General features: G+C 45.3%; 1 protein-coding gene across 20 annotated transcripts in view; it reads left to right on the top strand.

Annotated features, from left to right (window-relative positions):
• The window catches only part of RYR3 (ryanodine receptor 3), a 555,136-nt gene that overhangs the window by 338,681 nt on the left and 205,677 nt on the right, over positions 1-10,778 (top strand). For all 20 annotated transcript variants that reach the window (XR_001751370.2, XR_001751371.3, NM_001036.6 and 17 more), the window contains 3 exons: positions 3,071-3,236; positions 10,073-10,159; positions 10,550-10,776. Coding sequence is in view for 18 of the 20 variants with exons in the window: in NM_001036.6 (NP_001027.3) it covers positions 3,071-3,236; positions 10,073-10,159; positions 10,550-10,776 (480 nt within the window). In the remaining 2 variants the exon portion in view is untranslated. The remainder of the gene's footprint in view (positions 1-3,070; positions 3,237-10,072; positions 10,160-10,549; positions 10,777-10,778) is intronic.

The raw sequence follows: 10,778 nt of genomic DNA on the forward strand, positions 1-10,778 counted from the left end.
CCTCCTCCCAAGAGTTTATAATGGTTGAAAGCATAAGGAATAAAAGAGACATTGAAACTTCATGAATAATAACCACCAAATAGAAATTAGGAAACTTTAGGGCAAGCGCGTTCTAGGCATACCCATACCCTCCCACTGGTCTGCTGGCACTGCTGCCAGAGAAGGGATTGTTGGCCAGATGTGCTCCAGAGGTGACTGAAGAGACCATGGCTTGTGGTTTCCATCTGTTCCCCACCTACGTGAGGTACAGGAGCATCTTTTCCCTATACAGCCATATGTAGCGATGTCATAAGTTGTTTTTCAAGCTGGCCTTTGCTCCCTACGAAGACAGGAACGTTTTGCAATCAGTGTCCTTTAGAGAATGTTGGCTCACCAAAGACTAGTAGCCAGAGGTGAGTCACAGTCACTGTGTCACGAGGGACCTGCAGCTGGTTAAGAGTGCTGGCTTAGGCTGGGCACGGTGGCTCACGCTTGTAATCACAGCACTTTGGGAGGCCAAGGCGGGCGGATGACGAGTTCAAGAGATTGAGACCATCCTGGCCAACATGGTGAAACCCCGTCTCTACTAAAAATACAAAAATTAGCTGGGCGTGGTGGCGTGTGCCTGTAATCCCAGCTACTCGGGAGGCTGAGGCAGGAGAATCGCTTGAACCCAGAAGGTGAATGTTGCAGTGAGCCGAGATGGCGCCACTGCACTCCATCCTGGCAACAGAGCAAGTCTCTGTCTCAAAAAAAATAAAAATAAAAAAATAAGTGCTGGCTTTAGAATAAACTGCCTGGGTTCTTAGGGGTATGACATTGGACCCGTCACTTAACCTCCCTGGGCCTCGATTTCCTTATCTAAAGATGAGGATAATAGTTTCTATCACAGAGTATTGTGAAGATTAAATAAGTTAATTCATAGAAAAATTTTTAGGACAGTGCCTCAACTCAGGCACTCAGTAAATATCAGCTACAGTCATCCCTTGGTATATGAGCTAGATTGGCCCCAACATCTTCCACCTATACCAAAATCCGCTCATACTCAATGACCTCAGTCAGCACTGAACCCTGGTATAGGAAATGTCAGCCTTCCCTATACGTGAGTTTTGCACTCTGTGAACACTGTATTTTCAATCTATGTGTGGTTGAAAAAAATTCACCTATAAGTGGACCCACATATAATGGACCTATGCAATTCAAACCCATGTTTTTCAAGGGTCAGCTGTATAATTATTATTCCCATTATTGAATGTCCATCATTGAGAGAGCCAAAATAGATGCTATAAGCAACATCTGGTTTAGATTGGAAAGGAAAGTATTCTAAAGTAATTGACCAATCCAGGCTTTGTTCTTCAGCCAGAAGAAAAGGCAGAAGTGTCCACCTCATTTGAGTTTATAATTCCAGTTTGCTGGCTCTACCATACAAGATTGATTACTTCATTTATCTGAGCCTCAGTGGCCATACTTACTGTGAACATTAACTGACATTTTAGCACCTAGGATAAGACATACTATATGGTACACATTCAATAATTCTTACTTCTTTGTCCTATGTAATAAGAAATAAATACAAAATCCGTTTACAGATGCTTTAGGACATTTTGAATTTGGGCCCTTTAATGTATGACCAAAGCGAGCCACTTCACATTCCCACAGCTTTAATACATTATTAATTGTATTCTGTATTAGTCATCAGTATGGTTAGCACCTTAATCACTAAAAAGTAGTACTAACATGGCTGCAGTTATAGAACTCTAATAATGCTATAACTCTTTGAAAGAGGCTATTTGCACTGGCCCCTGCCTGAGGGCATTCACAGGAAGCGAGCAGACCCATCATTGTCCCAAAGGAGAGGACAGGAGATTAATGCATGCTTACAAAGGGGGAAAGTGATAGACTTCTAGAGGCAGAAGGAACCTCGGAGAATCCTAATTGAACCTTTGGTTTTTCAAATGAGAACATCATCCTGAGAGGTGAAGCAACTCTCAGAGTTTACAGGATCTATTCCAGCATCTACCCACCCCACAGTGCCAAATGTACTATCCCTGCCCCTATGTGGCCTTGCCCTCCATGCTGAGGACCACAACAGGAAGCCAAGCTGAGTCACATCAGACTGACCCTAAGATGTTTAAAGGGGCTGCTCTTGCATCAGGTATAGCATCACCCTTTTATTTAACTTGAGAAAAGTCATGTCATGTCACTTCAAGGGACCAGGTGCCTGAGCTGACGTACACCAGTGTGGGCTTAGAAGAAGAAAGAATCGGCCATCTCTTGCCCACGGTGGGGGGCTCTGAGAATCACCTCTGCCACTGCACATCTCCACAGCTCACCTGGGATGTGAAATCCTACAATTGGGGAATCAGGCTTTGGGAGCCTTAAGGACTTTTTCATTATTATAGTTTGCTTTTAAGTGTAAATACCTGTCATGGAGTTTTGTATTCTGGGGTTTGGTAGACAGAAAGCTAAGCAAGGCACCTAAGCTGATGGTTAGCCAGTAGTGCGGGAGGCAGAACTCCAAGGCATGGGGAAGGACAGGGGCTCATAAGTCAAGGTAGCAGCAAGGTGTCAGAGAAAAACTACTTTGTAGGGAGCCCAGGCCGGCCATCCTAAGGAATGTGGGCCCGAGTTTTCAAGTGTTTTACAGCCTTTTGCCCTGGTTACCAGACTGGGACTCTGAACCCAGACTTTTTTTCTGCCTCTTATTCCAAATCCCCATATAAGTTTGCCGAAGGTGGTCATTCACTCCGTGCCTCAATTTCCCGTCTCTTTGGTGGGATACTGCCGTTCCCATGATCTGTTTCACAAAGGTGTGTTGACATTGAGTCTGGAAACAGTTCTCTGAACATTGTGCTTTTTGGAAGGAGGTAGCCTGAATAGATTGCCACATCCTTACTCTGAGTGGTTTGTGTCTGAGTAAATTGGATTGAAGCTAAATAAACTCATTTAAGGAAAAAAAAGTATTTGGGGCTGAACAGAAAGCTTCCTAGGAAAGTTTCTGTAGCCATTTTCATTTTTCATTTCATTCCTGAGTCTTGATTACAAACTGCCCCAGTCCAGATTCTGTGCCTTTTCCTGTCTTGGCTCCTAGTGTGAAACGCAGCAACTGCTACATGGTCTGGGGTGGAGACATTGTAGCCAGTTCCCAGAGATCAAATCGGAGCAACGTGGACCTGGAGATCGGCTGTCTCGTGGATCTGGCCATGGGCATGTTGTCCTTCTCAGCCAATGGAAAGGAACTGGGCACCTGCTACCAGGTAAGGGCGGCTTCTGGGGCCGAAACAGGGCTATCCCAGGCCTGGTGTTTATCACTGTGTTCCTTGTTCTCCGTACTCAGCATTCCTGCCACAGTGTGTCAAGCTGATGAGCCCATGTGGGCCATGGGCCACTTAGGACAACAAATAAACAACAACAAAGTTACTTCATTGTATGCAGAGAAAAAAAGGCTGGGCAATCATAGTTATTGGTTGATCCAATATGCTGGTTGTCTTTCTAGAGGACGAAAAGTCCTTTCCTTGGTGTTGAGCTGTAAATGTTATTCATTTATTTCATAAATATTTCTTGTGCAGCCTTATCTATTACCTGCACTATACAAGATACAAGATGTAAAGGTGAACAAAAATACTTCTCACTTTAAGAAACTTCTGTACTCAAAATAGAAACCTATAAAAAGGATTAATTTGCCAGGAAATATCCCTTTTGCAAAAAGGTTATCCACATTCCCTATGACTACCTCATAAGATGCTTTAAAAATACATTTATAGGCCAGGCGCAGTGGCTCATGCCTGTAATCCCAGCACTTTGGGAGGCCGAGGCGGGGGGATCATGAGGTCAGGAGATTGAGACCATCCTGGCTAGCATAGTGAAACCTGTCTCTATTAAAAATGCAAAAAATTAGCCGAGCGTGGTGGCCCGCGCCTATAGTCCCAGCTACTCAGGAGGCTGGGGCAGGAGAATCGCTTGAACCTGGGAGGCAGAGGTTGCAGTGAGCTGAGATCACACCACTGCACCCCAGCCTGGGCAACAAAGCAAGACTCCATCTCAAAAAAAAAAAAAATACATTTATATAAACAATGTGTTTCCTCATTTCCTGGACCGTGAACTTCCATAGAGCTACTCAGGAAAACCACCTGTTATACACATGTAGGTTTACCTGTCATTAACCACAAGCAGCCTGATCTCTTCATCCTTGATGGCCAGGTAAGGTTGGGAAACTGCCACATATCACATCCACCTCTTGAAGTTTTATAATGAAGGTTATTAGCACACTGAAATATTTGAGAAATACTTCAGAAAGAAACCTATGTAACCAAGCAGTTCTCAAATTATTTGACAAAGAAAAGCACTTTTTTTAATTTTAAGAATCAATAATGTTCTATGAACCTAGAGTTCCACAGAGCAAACTATGGGAGATGGGAGGTTAATGTCTACGTTAAACATTCTCGACTCTCCAAGGTAGAATGGAGAGTCACAAGTATTTGTAGACAGAGAACGCTGTACGAGTTCAAAAAAGGAAGAGCTCACTCCATCACAAGCAGTCAGGAGAATGTTCATTAAGGAGAAATCTTGATTTATTTATTTTTTTAAGGAAAAAGCGTTTTTACGGGCCAGGCATGGAGGCTCACACCTGTAGTTCCAGTATCTTGGGGAGGCCGAGGCAGACAGATCATTTGAGCTCAGGAGTTCGAGACCAGCCTGGGCAACATGGTGGACCCTCAGCTTTACAAAAAATAGAAAAATTAGCTGGGTGTGGTGGCATACACTTGTGGTCCCAGCTGCTCAGGAGGCTAAGAGACTCACTTGAGTCCGGGGAGGTCAAGGCTGCAGTGAGCCATGATTGTTCCACTGTACCCTACTCTGAGTGACTGAGTAAGACCCTGTCTTAAAAAAAAAAAAAGAATGAATTTTCATGGGTAGAAGGAGAAGAGTGTTGAATACATAGCTCAAGAAGTATCATGGAGATAGGGAAGCAGAAAGTGTGTTTGGGGATCTGTGGACAACATCGCATAGGGCTCTTATGGTTATTGGTAAGAAATTTGTTTGGAAAGCTAGGGAGATATAGATAGGAAATGGGGAGCCATTGAAGGTTTCTGAGCAGGAGAGTGGCATGCCGTACTTAGGGCATCCAACAGTTTTTCAGGGTCACCAGTTTACCTAACTATAGCAAATTAAAAACATCCTGCTATGATGTACATGGATAAAACCCCTGATTCTTAAATCAGCCTCAGGTTACAGCCTTCAGGCTGAAAAGCCTCTTGGCAGCCAGTTCTCTGGCCTGTGGTTGGAGAGAGGGGGTAAGGTAGACAGCAGACAGAGTAGCCACCTCCCATCTGAAATGTTCATTGACTAAGAACAGATGGACCAAACCCTTCCTGGGGGCGGGGAGCAGCCTGTTGGCACAGAGGCCGCCACCTTGTCTCTCCAGCACCTCCTGCAGTGCATGACCCTCTCTGCACCTCCTCCTCTTCCTGGGAGAAAGTGGAATCATCACCACTTGGCACGCTTGCTTCAGCAGCTGGGGCCCAACCAGCTATTTCCAGAAAGATGCACTCACAAAGCCAGGCTTTGAGGCAGAAAGTAAAGTATTATTCTTCTAGTACTTTTTCATGATTCTATCTCCTCCACCCCCAAATCCCCTGAGAAATGTTTTATATACATTACTGCTGTCCTTCAAAATCCATTAGCTTTTTCCCATTAACTTTAGAAATGAGTTTAACTGAAGGGTCCTCCCTGAGCTGCAGAGGACGCTAAAGCATCTCATAACTTTTAAGACTAGCTGATCTTTGGAAGTTCAAAAAAAATAATTAATTTTTTAAAATGGCATTTGCAGCAGCAGTGACTTGCCTGCTTCAGGAAAGAACCTGTGATGTTGAAGAGGAGGACACTGTGACAGCTTTAGCCCACCTTTCACCATCCTTCTGGGTGACATAGGCTGGTCAGTTGTCTTCTTTTGGCTGGGTGCTGGTACCCTACCTCCTGGAGAGCCTTCCTCCACCCTGTGCATAGAAATCCTGATGACCCTGCTCAGCGATCCCAGTCCTGACTCTTGCCCTTAAGAATGCTGCCGCAAAGGAGACAGTATCAGGACTCTGTCCAGAAACCTGAGAGGTTCACACCCAGCCAGCCCCCTTCTCATTCCAGGCGAGACAGTAACGTGTCCTGCCATGCATTTGGTCCCTGACAGTGGGATCGTTGTTATTCCACAGCTGTAGCCATTTTCATTTTTCAATTATGTCAAGAAGAACAGTCCAGCAATATTTATACACTGGCTTTCAGATTCAGAAAGGACTAGAAACCAAAATAATGAGAGAAGGAGTCTCTCAAACAATGTTTCTAGACCTCCCCATTAAATAGTGATAAACAATTTGAACACATTTTTCTGTCCACTTAATATAATCAGTGGCGAATTTGAGAAATAAAATCTACATTCAAGAGATACTCCTCAGTGATTGCCACTCCAGGCACACCAGTCTGAGACACAGGCAGCTATGAGGTTTGGATTTACAAGAGGGGTTAGCTTTCAATTCAGGCCCATTCCTGTGCCATGACCTTCACACATGATTAGAAAAAGAATGTCCATTATTGCAAGGACAAAACAGATCAGCCAGTGATGAAAGGTGCCTCAAATACAAAAGGGAAACTGTCAGTGGCATACCACGGCAGTGCTAAATCTGGGCTGGTTGCGCAATCCATGGGCATGTAAGTTCCTCATTTAGAAGGTAAGCTCCTTGAGGGCAGAGGCCCTCTCCTGTGCTCACTGCCGCCTCCCCATGCATGAAACAGTACCTGGCATCTAGTGAATGCTCACCGAGTATGTGTTGCCAGACTGACCCACGGCTGGGAAATCCCCTTGTAGGCATTTTTTTTTTATTGTTGCCTGACAAGTTACCACAAAATTTAGCAGCTTAAAACAACACACATTATTTCAGAGTTCCGCAGGCTTGACTGGGTACTCAGATTCTCACAAGGCCAAACACAAAGTGTGCCCTGGGCCTGAACCAGGCTCATCTGGAGGCTCTAAGGTGAATCCACTTCTGAGCTTATTCAAGGTATTGGCAGTTCTTTGAGATTATGGGTCTTAGGTCGTAGATTCTGAGGCCCCTGTTTCCTTGCTGGCTATCAGCCAGGGCCACTCTCAGCTCCCAGAGGGCACCCACATTCCTTTACACGTGGCCCCCTCCATTTCAAAGCCAACAAGGGCACGTCCAGTTTTTCTCTCTGATTTTCCCTTCTTCCTCCAGCAGGAAAACTCCTGCCTTTAGAAGCCTCATGCAATTTGAAAAGGCCAACAAGGTCTCCCTATCTTGAGGCCAAATGGTTAGTACAATTGCATTACATCTGCAGAATGCCTTTTGCCGTGCAACATAGCATGATCATAAGAGTAACACCAGGGGTCCCAGAGGGCCTTCTCGAATCCTGCTTACCACACCACCAATTGCCCATTTTTATCCTTATTACACCCTCATGAGCCCACACTTGTGTTTTTTTCTTGTTTTAGTGATCGAAGAGACATTTCCTTTGTTTATCATGTGAGACTATACTCTGCGTGGTGGAAAATAAACCTATCCCAGGGCATCCTAAATGCTCTCAAAGCACTTACTTTCTGCAGGGAGGGTTGAGGAGAGCCCTGGAGTTTGGGCAGTTTATGAAGTTTTCAGGAACCAGTCCTGAGGGACCTGAAAATAAAACTCCCTCTTCAAGCTATGGCTCCCTATACTGGTGTGATTCGACTGAATGCATTTCTCTCTCCCTGTTAGCAGAAACGCATGGGCTTCCTACTGGTCCAGATGAAGTTTCCTCAGCCACAGGAGCTCTGCTCCCTTCAGTTTGCAGTGACTTGAGGCCTACAAGTTGTTCTAGATGTCACATATTGGGCATTTGAGAAATCTGGGAGCCAGCCCAGGGACGACTCCTGCCTTGTAGCTAAAGTCAGAACAACATCAAATCAGAATTTCCTATTCATGTCTCATCACCATGAACTCAGGGTCTGGCACAAAGCAAGTATATAATAGGTACTACATCATTATCTGTTGAAAGTCATTTACAAAGCTTATTTCAGGCAGAGGCAGGCAGTACTAGCAGTCTACTCCAACATTTTGGTTTTACTGGCACTTATCTCTTCATATCGTCCATGGAACATCCAGTATAAATCAAATATTTTTACCTGAAATGTGAGGCCACTTTTGTGTACTAGAAGGATCATGTACTGGATGAAAGTCTGGGGTTTAACCAATCCAGCCTATTTCATCATGAACAAATGATAGCACTAAATCATGCAATCTTCTAAGTCACAGCCATAAAAATGTGTGGTTTTGTAACTCTTATGTCTAAATACATTGAGGAAGTTCATTATTTAAAGAAAACCTGTGACAATTGCTTTGACAAAAAGAAAACTCACTATACTCATTCTCTGTTGTCACATTACAAATTACAAATTTAGCGGCTTAAAATAGCATATATTTATTAGCCCATGATTTCTATGGATCAGGAGTCTGGCCACAGTGTAGCTGGGTCCTCAGTCCAGGGTCTCACAAGGATATTGTTAAGGTGTCAGCCAGGCTGCCTTCTTTTCTAGAGCTCAGTATCTTCTTCCATGCTTACGTGCTTGTTGGCAGAATTCAATTGCTTGCATTTGTAGAACTGAGGTCCTGTTTTCATGCTGGCTGCAGCCAGGGGCCACTCTCCCCGCCTTCCGCCCCCAAGAATTCCTTGTTCCGTGGCCCTCTCGTAAGCCTTCTAACAGTATAGCTGCTCACATCTCCAAGGTCATCTGGAGAAGCTTTCTCTCCAGTCCACCAAGATGAAGTTTTACATAAAATAATCTAGGAAGTGACAGGTCCTTCATCTTTGTCATTCTGTTTGCTGAAAGCAAGACACAAGTTCTAGGGGAATGATGACCCATTGGGGTCACCTTAGGGTATGTCCAGCACACCTGCCATCCCCTCATTTATAGATGGGGAGAGTTGCAAGAATTTCCTAATGTTTATATTTGCTTCAACCTAAAAGGTTTCAGTTGGTGGAATTAAAGTCCCAGTGTGTGAGCAGACTTTATGTAGTCTTCCATCATCCTCCAGTGACTTTCTTGAAAACACTTTAGTAATATGGAATTCAGAGGCTGCTCCTCCATCAAAGGGAGCAAGTAATACCTGGAGCTCCTGATGTGGTACACTGATAAATCTAATGTTTCATCTAAGTGGCAGCTGCAGCACAATCAGTAAATGCCAAACCCTTCAACAGAAGAACTGGAATGCTGAAGAGTGCAAAGGGGGTGGAGAGGATGGAGAGGAGTCCAGAGGAACCCGGGGAGAATTAGGGCTTTGAGAGGGAGACAGTGTCCTTTTGTTATTCCAGTGAGGGACCTCACAGTCTTTGCCTGTAGAGCAGTGTTTCTCAATCAGGGGTACTTTTGCCCTTCACAGAACATTTGGCAATGTTGGGAACCATGTTGGTTGTCATGACTGTGGTGGGGGCAGAGAGTGCTGCTGATGTGCAGTGGGCAGAGGGCAGGGATGCCGCTCAACATCCTACAGTGCATGGGATGGCGCCCACCGCAAAAAGCTACCTGGCCTGAAATGTCGGCAGTGCCAAGGTTGAGAAACCCTACCATGGGATCTCCATGGGCTTGCTTGACTAATGTTGGTTTGCCTGAGTCACCACCCTATCCCAGTTATCATCTCCTATGGGCAGGTGTGGAGAATGATGGTGCTGCCATGTGCCACGTGTCTTTGGGCTCTGTGAAGAGCAAGCACATCACACTGTTCAGTGACCAGCAGCAGGTATGCCTTTGGTGGGGAGTTAGCTTCACACCTACCTGTCCTGTGCACTGGAGGAAGCTACTGGCTACAGGTATCTGAGAGAAAAAATGAAAGGACCTGAGATTATTCAGCCCTGAGTGGAGACACTGTTTAAGGTGTGGAATTGTGACAATCTCCGCTGATAGATAACTGGTCTCTGCGAATTTCTGAGCAGTGGAGAATGACCAGACAGCTAGCAGTCATTGGAATGAGATTGTTGACCAAAACACCCAATGGCTGAGCCAGCTGTGTTGTTTGTCCAGCTCTGGGCAAAGCTTTCGATTTGTTTTGATTTCCAGGTGGAGCCTAATACCAAAGTGTTTCCAGCAGTCTTCCTGCAGCCTACAAGTACTTCTTTGTTTCAGTTTGAACTTGGAAAGCTGAAGGTATTTATTTGTCCTCTCATCTAATGGCCATGACAAGAGAAAGCAGCACTAACCATTAGGGGGAAAATCCCAGGCCTCAGAAGATGGGAGAAGCCTGTTCACTTCCCATAAGCCCCCCACCCCCAGGCCCTGCCCTTTCCTGTGGCATTCAGATGGTAGAATATGCATTCTTATCTTCCCCTTTTCCCACCTCTTTTGGGTGCTGAAAGAATCAATTAATGCTCATATAACCCATTATTTGAAATGCTAATTAATGCTGGTAAAGCCCTTAGAGATCCCTGGATACATTTGTCCCTCTTTAATTTATACTGGCCATATCGGTTAAAATGTCTGGGTGCGTCATCCAGCAACTGTGTGTTTCTTTTCCAATGCCTTTCCCACGTGCCCCAGAACGCAATGCCCCTGTCAGCGGCCATATTCAGGAGTGAAGAGAAGAACCCAGTCCCACAGTGTCCACCTCGGCTGGACGTCCAAACCATCCAGCCCGTGCTCTGGAGCCGCATGCCCAACAGCTTCCTGAAGGTGGAGACCGAGCGTGTGAGCGAGCGCCACGGCTGGGTGGTGCAGTGCCTGGAGCCCCTGCAGATGATGGCGCTCCACATCCCCGAGGAGAACAGGT

Source organism: Homo sapiens, chromosome 15, assembly GCF_000001405.40.
Source record: "Homo sapiens chromosome 15, GRCh38.p14 Primary Assembly".
NCBI lineage: Eukaryota > Metazoa > Chordata > Mammalia > Primates > Hominidae > Homo > Homo sapiens.